The sequence below is a fragment of the Homo sapiens genome, chromosome 17 (assembly GCF_000001405.40).
Source record: "Homo sapiens chromosome 17, GRCh38.p14 Primary Assembly".
Lineage (NCBI taxonomy): Eukaryota > Metazoa > Chordata > Mammalia > Primates > Hominidae > Homo > Homo sapiens.
In genome coordinates, this window is record NC_000017.11 from 38,241,961 (window position 1) to 38,258,146 (window position 16,186).

The 16,186-nt window shown below is 45.7% G+C and overlaps 1 pseudogene across 1 annotated transcript in view, besides 2 other annotated features; it reads right to left on the minus strand.

Moving 5' to 3' along the window:
- NPEPPSP1 (NPEPPS pseudogene 1) overlaps nt 1-15,289 on the minus strand; it is a 61,510-nt pseudogene extending 46,221 nt beyond the window's left edge. The window contains exons 1-2 of the transcript NR_036750.2: nt 14,938-15,289; nt 241-325 (exon numbers count right to left, since the gene is read on the minus strand). The product of NR_036750.2 is annotated as an NPEPPS pseudogene 1 (transcript). The remainder of the gene's footprint in view (nt 1-240; nt 326-14,937) is intronic.
- Nucleotides 1,408-1,907: an enhancer, noted in NCBI's record as "H3K27ac hESC enhancer chr17:36399387-36399886 (GRCh37/hg19 assembly coordinates)". NCBI's record gives its function as "activates a minimal SCP1, AML or CMV promoter by ChIP-STARR-seq in naive H9 embryonic stem cells {active_cell/tissue: H9 hESC(naive)}" and the evidence as "EXISTENCE:reporter gene assay evidence [ECO:0000049][PMID:30033119]".
- Nucleotides 15,077-15,610: an enhancer, noted in NCBI's record as "H3K27ac hESC enhancer chr17:36413044-36413577 (GRCh37/hg19 assembly coordinates)". NCBI's record gives its function as "activates a minimal SCP1, AML or CMV promoter by ChIP-STARR-seq in naive H9 embryonic stem cells {active_cell/tissue: H9 hESC(naive)}" and the evidence as "EXISTENCE:reporter gene assay evidence [ECO:0000049][PMID:30033119]".

Below are 16,186 nucleotides of genomic sequence, written 5' to 3' on the forward strand. Positions count from 1 at the left end.
GTGGCCCAGGCTGGTCTCAAACTCATGGGCTCAGGGATCTGCTCGCCTCAGCCTCCCAAAGTGCTGGGATTATAGGCGTGAGCCACTTCACCCAGCTGAATTTACCCATTTCTAAAGTAACAAACACTGAAGTCTTAACCTGAAAATGTCTCTCTCTCTCTCTCTCACACACACACACACACACACCCCCCCCACATATGCACATGCAGACAGCAAATTAAAATGGAAAACAGCTCTTACCTTCATCTCCTTCTGGTGCATATGAAGCTGTAATAATATCAATATCAGCACAATTCATCACAATCTGATTAGTCGCCTGCCTCACCTAAGGGGAAAAGGAAAATCAACAGTGTCAGAAATAGCCTAGATTAATAGTATATACAACTTGGCCAGGTGTGTTGGCACACACCTGTAATCCCAGCACTTTGGGAGGCTAAGCAAAGAGGATCGCTTGAGCCCAGGAGTTTGAGACCAGCCTGGAAAACATGGCGAAACCCTATCTCTACAAAAAATACAAAAATTGGCCAGGAGTTGTGATGTGTGCCTATAGTCCCAGCTACTCGGGAGGTTGAAGTGGGAGGACTGCTTGAGCCCAGGAGGTTGAGGCTGCAATAAACTGTGATTGTGCAGCTGCACTCCATCCTGGGCAACTGAGCAAGACTCTGTGTCTCTCAAATAATAATAATAATGATGTTCGTAAGACTTGAACTAATATCACAGTCAATTTTTTAAAATCCAGACTTCGCTAAAACCTAGACTGAGAATTTATGCATCAATGGTACAAATAAATGAAGTTTTAATAATCCAAAGCAACTCATATTTTCCAAATTATATTAAAAACAATAATGGATGTTTAAGTATTTCACATCACTTACATCTAACCAATGAGCCAAATAAAATAATGTTTTCTACTTAAACTTTGATTTTAAACTATTAAAGGGCTGGGCACAGTGGCTCATGCCTGTAATCCCAACACTTTGGGAGGCTGAGGCAGGAGGATTACTTGAGGTCAAAAATTCAAGACCAGCTTGGGCAACACAGTGAGACAAAAAAAAATTTTAAATTAGGAGGGTGCTGGTACCCACCTATAGTCCTAACTACAGGAGAGGCTGAAGGAGGAGGATCCCTTAAGCCCAGGAGGTCAAGCAAGGCTGCAGTGAGCTATGATTACATCACTGACCTCCGGCCTGAACAACAGAGTGAGACTCTGTCTCAAAAAATAAAAATAGGCTGGGGGCATCGGCTCACACCTGTAATCTTGGCACCTTGGGAGGCCGAGGCAGGCGGATCACTTGAGGTCAGGAGTTTGAGATCAGCCTGGCCAACATGGTGTAACCCCATCTCTACTAAAAATTAGCCAGGTCTGGTGGCACACACCTGTAATCCCAGCTACTCACGATGCAGGGGCAGGAGAATCACTTGAACCCAGGAGGTGAGCTTGCAATGGGCCGAGATCGCACCATTGCACTGCAGCCTGGGCGACAGAGTGAGCCTACGTCTCAAAAAAAAAAAAAAGAATACAAAAATCAGCCAGGCAAGGTGGCATAGGCCTGTAATTCCAGCTACTCAGGGGGCTGAGGCACGACAATTGCTTAAACCCGGGAGGCAGAGATTGCAGTGGGCTGAAATCCTGCCACTACACTCCAGCCTGGTAACAGAGTGAAACTCTATCTCAAAATAAATAAATAAATACGTTTAATTTCATAAAAATCTTAATTAGGAAACATTTCTTACAACATATTGCAATAATTATATATTTTAACCTGCACATCAAACTCACCATGAGGCCTTCTGTGAGGATAGAGGAAGAAGGCTGATACTATAAATTATGTCAAAACTTTATACAATAACTCTTACCACCGAGTGTGGTGGCTCACACCTGTAATCCTAGCACTTTTGGAGGGTCAGGCAGGCAGATCACTTGAGGCCAGGAATTCAAGACCAGCCTGGCTGACATAGAGAGTAGAGAGACCCCATCTCCACTAAAAATACAAAAATTAAGGCCGGGCACGGTGGCTCACGCCTGTAATCCCAGCACTTTGGGAGGCCGAGGCAGGCGGATCATGAGGTCAGGAGATCGAGACCATCCTGGCTAACATGGTGAAACCCCGTCTCTGCTAAAAATACAAAAAATTAGCCGGGCATGGTGGCAGGTGCCTGTAGTCCCAGCTACTCGGGAGGCTGAGGCAGGAGAATGATGTGAACCTGGGAGACGGAGCTTGCAGTGAGCGGAGATTGTGCCACCGCGCTCCAGCCTGAGCAACAGAGCAAGACTCTGTCTCAAAAATAAATAAATAAATAAATAAACAAACAAACTAGCATCTTGGTCCATGTTTTCCTGTGCACACATGAGAGAATTTTTCCATGGAAAGGAACCTAATAGTGGACTTTCTGGATTGTTGGACATAAATCTTCAACTTTACCAAGAACTGCCAAATTATCCTCTAGAGTGGTGTCAACTGACATTCCCATGAGCAAAGAATGAAGAAATCCCACTTTCAGCATGTTCTGAAAAACTTTAGTATTTTTGACAATCTAATGGGTATTAAATGATAGTCCTGGCCAGGCACAGTGGCTCACGCCTGTAATCCCAGCACTTTGGGAGGCTGAGGTGGGTGGATCACTTGAGGTCAGGAGTTCAACACCAGCCTGACCAACATGGTGAAACCCCATTTCTACTAAAAAAAAAAAAAAAAAAAAAAAAAAAAAAATTAGCCAGGCCTGTGGTGCGTGCCTGTAATCCCAGCTACTTGGAAGGCTGAAGCAGGAGAATCACTTGAACCCAGGTAGTGGAGGTTGCAGTGAGCTAGATTGAGCCATTGCACTCCAGCCTGGGCAACAAGAGCAAAACTTTGTCTCAAAAATTAAAAAAAAAAATTTTTGTACTGATAGTCCATTGGTTTAATCAGAATTTCCCTGATTACTAATAACATTGGTTACTATGCATCTTTTCTCGTGTGTGTGTGTGTGTGCACGCGCCATTAAGTTTTTCCACTGTGAACTGCTTGTTTAACACTCTTGTGCATTTTTCTTTTTTTTTTTTTTTTTTGAGATGGAGTCTCGCTCTCTCACCCAGGCTGGAGTGCAATGATGCGATCTTGGCTCACTACAACCTCCATCTCCTAGGTTCAAGTGATTCTCCTGCCTCAGCCTCCTGAGTAGCTGGGATTACAGGTGTGCAACACCACACCCATCTAATTTTTGTATTTTTAGTAGAGATGGGGTTTCACCTTGTTGGTCAGGCTGGTCTCAAACTCCTGACCTCGTGATTCGCCCGTCTCAGCCTCCCAAAGTGCTGAGATTACAGACGTGAGCCACCACGCCTGGCCTCTTGTGCATTTTTCAATTTAGTCATAACCTTGCTTAAAACAAAACTTCAAATTCATTTCCAGACATTTGAATGTTCTAAATCTAAAATAACAAAAACACAGATGCCCTAAATCACAAAGAAATGCTTCCTGAGGCAGGTAAGTGTAGCAAGCCATGTGGAAGCTGTGCACAACCCCTTAAAAGAAGGAGGTGGTAGCCATTTCTTGGAGCCAAAGAATTATCGCTATGGTGACTGGCAGGTTTAGTGCTGACAGATCTTCCAATTTTTTTTTTTTTTTTTGAGACGGAGTTTTGCTCTTGTTGCCCAGGCTGGAGTGCAATGGCGTGATCTCGGCTCACCGCAACCTCCGCCTCCCAGGTTCAAGCGATTTTCCTGCCTCAGCCTCCCTAGTAGCTGGGATTACAGGCATGTGCCACCACGCCCGGTAAATTTTGTATTTCTAGTACAGACGGGGTTTCTCCATGTTGGTCAGGCTGGTCTCGAACTCCCGACCTCAGGTGATCTGACCGCCTCGGCCTCCCAAAGTGCTGGGATTACAGGCATGAGCCACCGCACCTGGCCTGATCTTCCAATTTTTTTTTTAAAAGCTACAAATTCAGATTTCATGTGCAGTCTCTCTATTTTTTATTAATGGTAACTAATTCAAGTTTTCAGAAACACTGTATAGACCAAACAAAATCTGTGTGCAGATCAACAATGCTCTTAGACAACTGAACATACCACAAAACTAGGTAAGAACATCAGAGTAGTACGCTATCTGCATGAAAGACCTGTATACGGGTAATCATTTATTAATAACCAATACATATTTAAACATGATTAGCTGGCAACTAAAATTACCTGCCTAAATGAGAGACAGTAAATTACAAAGTCTATAATGAGCTATTCAAAATCTGTAACACATAAAGTGAAACTACTTTGGCTTACAAAAAAAATGCTTCTCATAAGTCTTCATGTTTCAAAACAAAGACGTCATTTAATGAATGGCTTATCTTTTAAGCAGCAATATTCCTTCACACTATTTCACCAAAACATACCTAAATAGCACTAAAACCTTTGTGTCCAACTGGCGATTTATAGCACTAAAGTTGAACAAAAAAACAAAAAGAATTCTTTGCCTATTCAGAAGTTGACTTAAAAATTCAGAAACATGGCTGGGCACGGCAGCTCATGCCTGTAATCCCAGAACTTTGGGAGGCCAAGGTGGGTGGATCACGAGGTCAGGGGTTCGAGACCAGCCTGGCTAACATGGTGAAACCCCATCTCTACTAAAAATACAAAGATTAGCTGGGCGTGGTGGCAGGCACCTGTAATCCCAGCTACTCGGGAGGCTGAGGCAGGAGAATCGCTTGAACCCAGGAGGTGGAGGTTGCAGTGAGCCGAAATCGCGCCATTGCACTCCAACCTGGGCGACAAAAGCAAGACTCCATCTTAAAAAAAAAAAAAATCAGAAACACAAAGAAATGAAGCACTTACTGGGGTATGCTCCAATGGGTAAAATGAATAAAAACCTTTCTGAGTTTGAAGTTTATGCCAGCAAAATAATAACTGTGGTTTAGTTACTGGTCTTAATCATTACCTAGGCAACCACACTTTCATCCATCAACATCTACAGTGAATTTCACAGTAGCCAAGCAGTTAATCCACCAATGTCAAGATACCTGTACAACATTATACATGCCAAATCACACAGCACATTACTACTGCAACCATTTGAGAGAAAGTATTTGTGCATTTTGGAAAGGCACCATGCACAACATCCAATTTCAAGTACCTTCCAACTCCTCCTGTGTTTAGGGGAAACTCATCTATTTATACTAATGAATTAAGCTGTTTCTTGAATTGCTACTAATTTTTTTTTTCCAGGATACTACCATTTCTGGAAGGGTGGGAGGGAGGAACCAAAGGAACAAAGGTACTTATCTTAAAAATAGAAATCCATTCACATTTTAAAAATTGGTCAGCATCTTGTCTTATATTAGAGATGCACTTATTTAAAAAGTTGACCAATAATGGGATAATCTATGTAAAGTCTCTGTTTTAGCACTTAGTGCCTCATATGTAGTCATCACTTAATAGATGTTAAGACATACATATACACACACACAGGTTAAATTGTGCTCTCATATCATCTAACAGCATTCACCTAACAGTTTATAAAGCTTCTGATCAGAATGATATGAAGTTTAAAAACTATGTATTGTATTATATGGCACTTTGGATATCAGCATATGTGTACTACCCCAAGAAGGTAATTTAAAATATCTGTCTGGACATAAGTGTATGTGCTGACTACAACGCAGTATAACACTGCTCTTTGTGATGCTGCTCTTCCAAACAGTAGTGCTGACCTGATGGTGTAGTACATGATTTCTCACCTTTGACACCTTCATATTAGTAAATATTAGCTGTGTGTTCCACTATCAAAAAAACAGGTAATAATTCAAAGAAATTTCAGCATTAAAATCTTCAGTTTCCCAGTTTAAAACACAAGTGAAACAAGGTTGGCATATAAAAGTGCACTGATAACAAGCTCATTTTCAATTTTTCTACTTGATGTTATTAAAGGATAGAATGTTAGTGTATCCTTGCTTTGTTTCAAACCCAGGATTAAGTCTTCTTGGCCTCCTATATAGACTGCACTTCAACTGAGCCAAATACTAAGTAAGGGCTGTACCAAAGAGGCAGCTTGACGCCTGGTAACAACTTTACAATGGAAGTTTCCTATGAGCTAGGGAGGCAGAAATCGGAGATAACATTTTCCTGAATGAGTCTTTACTATAGTCACTCAGGAACATATCTTACATGTACGATAGTAAGACTCAAGAGGGTTTTTTTCTGATTGTCAATGTCCTGAGACTTCAGTAAAAGAAAATCTCCAGTGTGACAATTCCAAATGCCAGTCTGAAGCCTGAGTCAATTTGCCTAATAAAACTGATTTCACCATTAAAATAGCAATAATTGTTGCCTTGGTGGAACAGTTCTATAATAGCTAAAGACAAGAAGAAGCAGATAATTAGTAAACTCAAGTTGAGCCAAGTTTTCTAACAAGAAACACTGAAAAGAGCCATTTGCAGAAGGTCAAAAATAATTACCATTAATGTAAAAATGCAAAAGGCACAGAATATTGGTATGTGATGTTTGTGGCTACTAATATGCAATTAAAGTTTTAAACTATACGTAGGAATAAAAAGGAATAATACGCACCTACCTGAAGAAAGAAGTTACTTCTAGAGGCAGGGTGGGACGAGATGGAAACGGGCTTTAGTGGTATCTGTGACATTTTATTCCCCCCCAAAAAAAGCATGCACAGTCTGATGAAAATGGGGCAAAATGTTAACATCTGTTTAATCTCATAGTGTGTGACTTTCTTGTATTTCTAAAATACTTCCTAATTTAAAATAAAATTTTAAAGAGATTACAAGTGACCAAATAAACCAAGAACCACATACTTGTATGGTGTTCAAAACAAAATCACTAAAATCTAGAGAACTAATCTCAGTTAACAACAAAAGCCATCCGAAGGCTCAGTTATTTCCCACTGACTCACATACAGATTAGAGTAAGATTTACTTCACAACAAGAGCAGGCTCATTTATGTGGCAAAGTTCGGAGAAGCTTCACAGATAATTTACTACTCAAGACCACATTTACCCAGGTTGTATCAGAGTATCAGTTGTATCTAGAACCAGGAAGCTAAAAAGAAAGAAAAAAAAAAAGGCCTGGATGAAAAGCCAAAATAGGTGATACAAAGTCCGTACAATAAAACACATACCCTTTACTCAGAAGAGAATCCAACAAACTCTCACACAGCAATTGATTTTTTAGCCCAAACAAGCTTGTTTATCTGGCTACTAAGGCTTCTTCAGATGAAGTTCAGTAAAATACAAGAGGGAAGAAATTGCACAACAGGCAGCAACAAGGCACAATAAGCAGCAAGAAGAATCTGAGAGTAAGGAAAACAAAACAATTTTAAAGAACAGACACAGGCTAGCCGGGTGCGGTGGCTCAGGCCTGTAATCCCAGCACTTTGGGAGGCCGAGGCGGGTGGATCACAAGGTCACGAGTTCGAGACCAGCCTGGCCAATATGGTGAAACCCCTTCTCTACTAAAAATTCAAAAATTAGCCTGGCATGATGGCAGGTGCCTGTAGTCCCAGCTACTTGGATGAGGCAGGAGAATCGCTTAAACCCGGGAGGCGGAGGTTGCAGTGAGCTGAGATCACGCCACTGCACTCCGGCCTTGGCAACAGAGCAAGACTCTGTCTCAAAAAAAAAAAAAAAAAAAAAAGAACAGATATGGACTAGGCGCGGTGGGTCATGCCTGTAATCCCAGCACTTTGGGAGGCAGAGGCGGGCGGATCACCTGAGGTCGGGTGTTTGAGACCAGCCTAGCTAACATGGTGAAACCTGGTCTCTACAGAAATACAAAAATTAGCCAGGTGTGGTGGCATGCACCTGTAATCCCAGCTACTAGGGAGGCTGAGGCAGGAGAATCCCTTGAACTAGGGAAGTGGAGGTTGCAGTGAGCCGAGATCGCACCACTGCACACTCCAGCCTGGCCTAGGCAACAGAGTGAGACTCTGTCTCAAAAAAAAAAAAAAAAAAAAAGAACAGATATGGCTTGGCGCGGTGGCTCACACTTGTAATCCCAGCACTTTGGCAGGCGGAGGCAGGCAGATCACCTGATGTCAGGAGTTCAAGACCAGCCTGGCCAACATGGTGAAACCCTGTCTCTACTAAAAATACAAAATTAGCCAGGCGTGGTGGTGCATGCCTGTAATCCCAGCTACTAGGGAGGCTGAGGCAGGAGAACTGCCTGAACCCGGGAGGCAGAGGTTGCAGTGAGCCGAGATTGTGCCACTGCACTCCAGCCTGGGCAACAGAGCGAAACTCCGTCTCAAAAAGAAAAAAAAAGAAAAAAAAACAGACATGAAACTGATAAATTATAGTACATAGTTTGGGGTCAATAAGAGATGTTCAGAATAAAGTTCAGTATTTAAAAAAAACAATGAAACAAACCTACACTATGAGGAATTGCAAAGCATAAAAAGATAATGTATTTTAGAAATATTTCCATTCAGATTAGTCAACTTTTTTTTTTTTTAAGACAGGGTCTCGCTGTGTCACCCAGGCTGGAGTGCAATGGCGTGATCTCAGCTCACCGCAACCTCCGCTCCTCCGCTTCCTGAGTTCAAGCAATTCTCCTGTCTCAGCTTCCCGAGTAGCTGGGATTACAGGCATGTGCCACCACGCCCGGCTAATTGTTGTATTTTTTTGTAGAGATGGGGTTTCATCATGTTGTCCAGGCTGGTCTCAAACTTCTGACCTCATGATCCACCCACCTCAGCCTCCCAAAGTGCTGGGATTACAGGCGTGAGCCACCACACCCAGCCTAGTAAACTTTTTTAAAAATGTCTAAGGGCCTCAAAGGGTAAACTTCAGTTATCTGGAAAAATCACTGCAGAATTCATTGCCAGATGAATTAGACAAAGCTTAGCATACAAAACTATTATACTTCTTTCCTCATAGATACATTTCAAAAAACAGAAAATCTGAACAAATTCAATTCCTTATCACCAATATTTTGAATTTAATTTTATATATATGAATTTTTTTTAAGAAAATTTCTTCCTTTTTTTTTTTTCCCTGGAGACAGGGTCTTGCTATGTTGCCCACACTGGTATCAAACTCCTGTGCTCAAGCAATTCTCCCACCTCCACCTCCCAAAGTGCTAAGATTACAGGAGTGAGCCACAGTGTCGGCCAAAATGATTACATAGAAGATATGCAGAAAATGGCCAGGCACGGTGGCTCATGCCTGTGATCCCGGCATTTTGAGAGGCCAAGGCGGGTGGATCACCTGAGGTCAGGAGTTTGAGACCAGCCTAGCCAACATGATGAAACCCTCTCTCTACTAAAAATACAAAAAATTAGCTGGGCTTGGTGGTGCGCGCCTGTAATCCCAGCTACTCTGGAGGCTGGGGCAAGAGAAACGCTTGAGCCTGGGAGGCAGAGGTTGCGGTGAGCCGAGATCGCGCCATTGAACTCCAGCCTGGGCAACAAGAGCAAAACTCCGTCTCAAAAAAAAAAAAAAGAAGCCAGGCACGGTGGCTCGGTGGCTCACGCCCATCATCCCAGCACTTTGGGAGGCTGAGGCAGGTGGATCACCGGAGGTCAGGAGTTCGAGACCAGCCTGACCAACATGGAGAAACCCCGTCTCTACTAAAAACAGAAAAAATTAGCTGGGCGTGGTGGCACATGCCTGTAATCCCAGCTATTTGGGAGGCTAAGGCAGGAGAACTGCCTGAACCTGGGGGGGTGGAGGCTGCAGTGAGCTGAGATCATGCCACTGCACTCCAGCCTGGGCAACAAGAGCGAAACTCCATCTCAAAAAAAAAAAAAAAAAAAAAAAGAGAAAATATGCAGAATTTGGGCAAAAAATTTGTAACACAGAATTGACAATAACCATTCAGGTGCCAAATTTTTAATATGCCAAACAAACTTCTATATTGGCAACTCTTCACTTAGTGCCAATTTAGTTATCTCCAACATGAATATTTTGTTAGTAGAGGCCAGGGGTTGGCTAGGATATCCTGATTTCTGGCCTTGAATGATAAACTTAGTTTCTCTGGCACAGGTAAAGTATTTCCATAAGAGAAAGCCCAGCTGGGCACGGTGGCTCACGCCTGTAATCCCAACACTGTGGGAGGCCGAGGAAGATGGAATGAGGTCAGGAGATCAAGACCATCCTGGCTAATATGGTGAAACCCCATCTCCACTAAAAATACAAAAAAATCAGCCAGGCATGGCGGCGCGTGCCTGTAGTCCCAGCTACTCAGGAGGCTGAGGCAGGAGAATTGCTTGAACCCGGGAGGCAGAGGCTGCAGTGAGCCAAGATCGCACCACTGCACTCCAGCCTGGGTGACAGAGCAAGACTCCATCTCAAAAAAAAAAAAAAAAAAAAGAATACCCAATTATTGTACCAACCACTACACACTCATAATCATAAATAGTAGTCACACACATAAACTTATAATTCATTTTAATTAATTATCCACAAACGGAGAGGATCAAAATATGAAATATCTACAAAAGTCCACTGCTCTCAAGTATCCAGTGTAAAGGGAGGGGACAGGGAATGAAATAAATTTTGGGCCTAGAGAAACTTCTGTATAATAACAAATTTTCAAAACCAGCTAGACCACACTAATGTGAAAGACAACTAATTTTTTTTTTTTTTTTTTTTTTTTTGAGACAGAGTCTTGCTGTGTCGCCCAGGCTGGAGTGCAGTGGCGCAATCTCAGCTCACTGCAAGCTCCGCCTCCCAGATTCACGCCATTCTCCTGCCTCAGGCTCCTGAGTAGCTGGGACTACAGGCTCCCGCCACCACGCCCAGCTAATTTTTTGTATTTTAGTAGAGATGGGGTTTCACCATGTTAGCCAGGATGGTCTCGATCTCCTGACCTCGTGATCCGCCCGCCTCGGCCTCCCAGAGTGCTGGGATTACAGGTGTGAGCCACCGTGCCCGGCCAAGACAACTAATTTTTAAATCACTGAACATGGACTAATTTCTTCACCTTCTGCAGCAGTCCACACCCCAGGCCAGGTTAAAAATCCACTAAGTTGGCCGGGCATGGTGGCTCATGCCTATAATCCCAGCCCTTTGGGAGGCCAAGGGAAGGGGATCACCTGAGGTCAGGAGTTCGAGACCAGCCTGGCCAACATGGCAAAACCCCATCTCTACTAAAAATACAAAAATTAGTTGGGCGTGATGGCACACACCTGTAGTCCCAGCTACCCAGGAGGCTGAGGCAAGGAGACTCACTTGAACCCGGCAGGGGGACAGGGTGGAGGCTGCAGTGAGTCGAGATCACACCACTTCACTCCAACCTGGGAGAAAGAGCGAAACTCCGTCTCAAAAAAATAAAAATAAAAAATAAAATAAATCCACTAAGTTTCTAATATGTAACCTGTACAAATACTCTGGGCTTATCGTAAAATTTTGTAACTAAAGCAACTAAGCAACTTGCATATTTTGTGTTATGTGATTCCAACTGTTAGGAAACTGATCCAATATCAGTCATAAATATAGGTTTCTACAGATAAGAATTTTGTCCCCCTGCCCGGCCAGCCGCCCCGTCCGGGAGGTGAGGGGCGCCTCTGCCCGGCCACCCCTACTGGGAAGTGAGGAGCCCCTCTGCCCGGCCACCACCCCGTCTGGGAGGTGTGCCCAACAGCTCATTGAGAACGGGCCAGGATGACAATGGCGGCTTTGTGGAATAGAAAGGCGGGAAAGGTGGGGAAAAGATTGAGAAATCGGATGGTTGCTGTGTCTGTGTAGAAAGTAGAAGACATGGGAGACTTTTCATTTTGTTCTGCACTAAGAAAAATTCCTCTGCCTTGGGATCCTGTTGATCTGTGACCTTACCCCCAACCCTGTGCTCTCTGAAACATGTGCTGTGTCCACTCAGGGTTAAATGGATTAAGGGCGGTGCAAGATGTGCTTTGTTAAACAGATGCTTGAAGGCAGCATGCTCGTTAAGAGTCATCACCAATCCCTAATCTCAAGTAATCAGGGACACAAACACTGCGGAAGGCCGCAGGGTCCTCTGCCTAGGAAAACCAGAGACCTTTGTTCACTTGTTTATCTGCTGACCTTCCCTCCACTATTGTCCCATGACCCTGCCAAATCCCCCTCTGTGAGAAACACCCAAGAATTATCAGTAAAAAAATAAATTTAAAAAAAAAAAAAAAAAAAAGAATTTTGTCGCCAGGCACAGTGGCTCACGCCCGTAATCCCAGCTCTTTGGGAGGCCGAGGCGGGCAGATCACGAGGTCAGGAGGTCGAGGCCACAGTAAAACCCCATCTCTACTAAAAATACAAAAAATTAGCTGGGCGCAGTGGCGGGCACCTGTAGTCCCAGCTACCTGGGAGGCTGAGGCAGGAGAATGGCGTGAACCCGGAAGGCAGAGAGCTTGCAGTGAGGCGAGATCGTGCCACTGCACTCCAGCCTGGGCGACAGAGCGAGACTCCATCTCAAAAAAAAAAAAAGAATTTTGTGAATATTTTAAAATTCCCACAAGATACCACCTAATGCCACAATTTAAACGTATTGCTCTAATTCATGGATTTCAAAAACATTAATATATGCTTTTTACTTCTTACCAATGTTAATTTTTTTACCCTTCCAAACATGTCAATTAGTACAATTTAAAAGTCCAATCATCCTTTAATAAAACCTGTTGGAATTCACTATTGCGTCATCTTTGTGTTGCCATCTAGCCTGAAAAGAATTTCTGGAAAAAAAGTGTTTTGAAAAGTTCATGCTACTTACAAAATTTATTTATTTTTTATTTATTTCCTTGCATCAAATTAACAAGTCCCTGCTAATATCTAGTATATTACCATATGCTCACTCAATGGCACAAACCAGTCTTCCACTAAAGTAGAAAAGAGGTAAGGAGAAACATGTCACTGCTTGTTGTTCTATCCCGATACTTAAATCAAACTCACTTCTTTAATAAGTAATTATTTAAAAATCTGTACTTTTTTCTAGACTTTTCCCAAAATATGTCTGCCTCCAAAAATTATGAATCCATTTTGGCAACTAATGGGGTAAAGAAACAAATGTTTTTTTTAATGTTAGTCTTTTCACATAATGCGAACTCATTCATCACTAGGTTCTCTTTCCCAAAGGTTTGCCAAGTCACAAGACACACTACTGTTTACAATCCCTCCCATCTGCCCCTTGCCAATATATATCAAACACTCTAGTCACTTGGCTTAAGCCACAGTTTCCCAAATAACCTTCTCAAATTCTAATTTAGACCCAAGATGCATTCGTTCTGATTCATATTCTTAATGGAAAAATTTTAAATCACCTGATTTTCACTAAGTTCTGCCTTTTGATGCTGCCAAATCCTAGAGCCCTCTTGCTTTCACACCAATGCCCCAAATGTGACAGCTATAGTTATCTATCACAGATAAGTATAAAGTATAGATAACTATACTTTTAAATTCTGTACTTTTAGACATATTTTTAATCTGAGTACCGTACCCTCTTGGTTTTCAAAGACAACTACCAACATTCAATTCATTCGAGCACAAGTCTTCACTTCATTTCATTACTATATACACCATGTTCTTTAAGGTGGGAGCCTACTGATTTCCCCCGACCCCAGACTGCAGTAGGAAAAGAAATGAAACAAAATATATTTACTAACATTCTATTTACAGATAACTATCAAACAGTTCCCATTTTTATTACAGGCTTCCTGTTACATAGTATCATAAATGCCTATTGTGCAGGATGTTTGTCGGGCATCTATACTGATGGTCTCCAAAATCAAACAATACTTCAGATAATGCTGCGGGAGGAGGGAGGGGAGTATGATTCACCAAAAACTGCAGTGAAGAGTAATGGAATATTTTCACCGGTGGTATGTTATAACTAATAGCTTCTTTCTTTCCTTTTTTTTTTTTTTTTTTTTGAGACGGAGTCTCACTCTGTCGCCCAGGCTGGAATGCAGGAATGCAGTGGCGCGATCTCGACTCTGCAACCTCTGCCCCCCGGGTTCAAGTGATTCTCCTGCCTTAGCCTCCCGAGTAGCTGAGATTACAGGGGCCCGCCACCACGCCCCGATAATTTTTGTATTTTTAGTAGAGACGGGGGTTTCACCATGTTGGTCAGGCTGGTCTCGAACTCCTGACCTCAAGTGCGCCCGCCTCAGCCTCCCTAAGTGCTGGGATTACAGGCATGAGCCACTGCGCCCAGCCAGCTTCTTGGGAGAGGAAGGTACTGCTAAGCAACCATCACGGTAGCAATAAATCCACCAGCTTCGAAGGCCGCAAAGCTAGGAAGATAGGTGGAAAAGCGGAGATGGGGTCCTCCCACAGCTTCTCTAGAGGTTAGGAGAGAACAAAGTCACTGCTGCACTGTCACTTGAGGGAAAGGGGGAGGGGGCGGATCATCTTGGAAACCCAGCCCCTGGGCTGGAGCAGGCGGGGAGAAGTCAGAGAGGCTGCCTAGGATTAACATTCTCGTTCTCACCCTCTCCCGCCCTTCTAGAAGCTCCCCTCCTCGCTCCAACGCGGCGGCCAGAGTCCCAAATGACCACTCCCTCCAATCTATCACCCGAGAGGTGTAGAGAGAAACCAAAGAAAGAACTGAGTCAGGTGGTTAGGCAGAGCGGGGACTCCCATGACCTCTCCGTCCTCCCCCAACACCCTCCAGCCTCCCCCGGAACACTATCAAGCCCAGAAGGGTCCGGGGCGGGGGGGAAAGCCCCACACAGGTGTGCTCGCCGGGGAGGGGCGCAATGGCCGGGCCGCCGGCTCCCCAGAGCTCCCGCAGCGCGGCCTCAGCCCGAGCCCCAGCCTCAGCTCCGGCCACGGTCCCTGCCCCGGCCCCAGCCCCAGCCCCAGCCCCAGCCCCAGCCCCAGCCCCAACAGAGAAAGGCAGAGCACGCCGAACCCGGCGCCCTGCGGCCGCCCAGCCCCGACTCGAGGCCCGCCCGCCCTCCCGGCCGGGCCCTGAGTCCAGCCCGCGGGCGCGGCCTAACTGCTCGCCCCGCAGCTTGCCCCGGGGCCCGAGGGTCGCTGTACCTGGGCGGCGGCCTCCAGCTTGCCCTCGAAGGTGAAGTCCAGCAAGTCGGGCTTGAGGCAAAGGCTGCAGTTGATGGGGGAGACATCGGCAGGCAGCCGCTCGAAGGGCCTCTTCTCCGGCATCGCGGCGAGGCCCAGGCTGTGGAGGCGGCGGCGAGAGGAGCGGCTGAAGACGAGAAGGAGGAGGGGAGGAGGCGGAGGGCCGAGGAAGAGCAGGCGGCGAGCGAGGGAGGGGGCGGCAGCTGCCAGCCACATCCACCGAGCGCGGGCGACCGCCGGAGGAGAGCGACCGGGGGAGCCTGGGGGGCGGGGGAGAGACCCAGCCGGAGCGCTAGGGGTTGGGAAGGAGGCGGTGCGGGCGGACTGGCGGGCGAGCTGCCTACGGGGAAGGGGGCGGAGGGGAGGGAAGGGGAGGAGGGCCAGCAAGGAGGGATGGAGAGGGGGAAGTGGTGGCGGCGGCTGCGTGCGCGGCCCCGCCGGCCGGGCGCGCCCCCGTGGAGTGCGCGCGCACGCCGGGGCAGAGGGCGGAGCGGCGAGGACGAGGGCGCGGCCGGCGGGGCGGGAGGGCGTAGGGTTGCCCGCGCGAGCGCAGGGCGGGAGGCGGGCGCTGCACCTGTCGGCGCCGCTCAGGACTGGGGGCGGCCTTCCAACTGGAAGGAGCCGGGAAGGGCTTGATCAGAGGAAGGAAAGGCATAAGGGGCCCTCGGGAAACTGAAGCCTACGCAGTTGGTCAGTTCAGCCAGGGTCGCATGCATAAAATACCAGTTACAAGCAAAACCCCAAACTGGATTCTGCCTCCAGGTCAGCGAAAAGCCCTGACTTGAGCCTCTCTGGCCTCAGTTCCTGTTAGTAGCAAATTCAAAGGATGATTTGAAAGTTTTGTTATAAAACCTTTAATAGCCGGGCGCGGTGTCTCACGCCTGTAATCCCAGCACTTCGGGAGGCCGAGGCGGGCGGATCACGAGGTCAGGAGATCGAGACCATCCTGGCTAACATGGTGAAACCCCGTCGCTACTAAAAGTACAAAAAATTAGCCGGGCGTGGTGGCGGGCGCCTGTAGTCCCAGCTACTCAGGAGGCTGAGGCAGGAGAATGGCGTGAACCCGGGAGGCGGAGCTTGCAGTGAGCCGAAATCGCGCCACTGCACTCCAGTCTGGGCGACAGAGCAAGACTCCGTCTCAAAAAAAAAAAAAAAAAAAAACCTTTAATAATCTAGGTTACTTCAACCAATGAGATCTGGACTTTTGAGG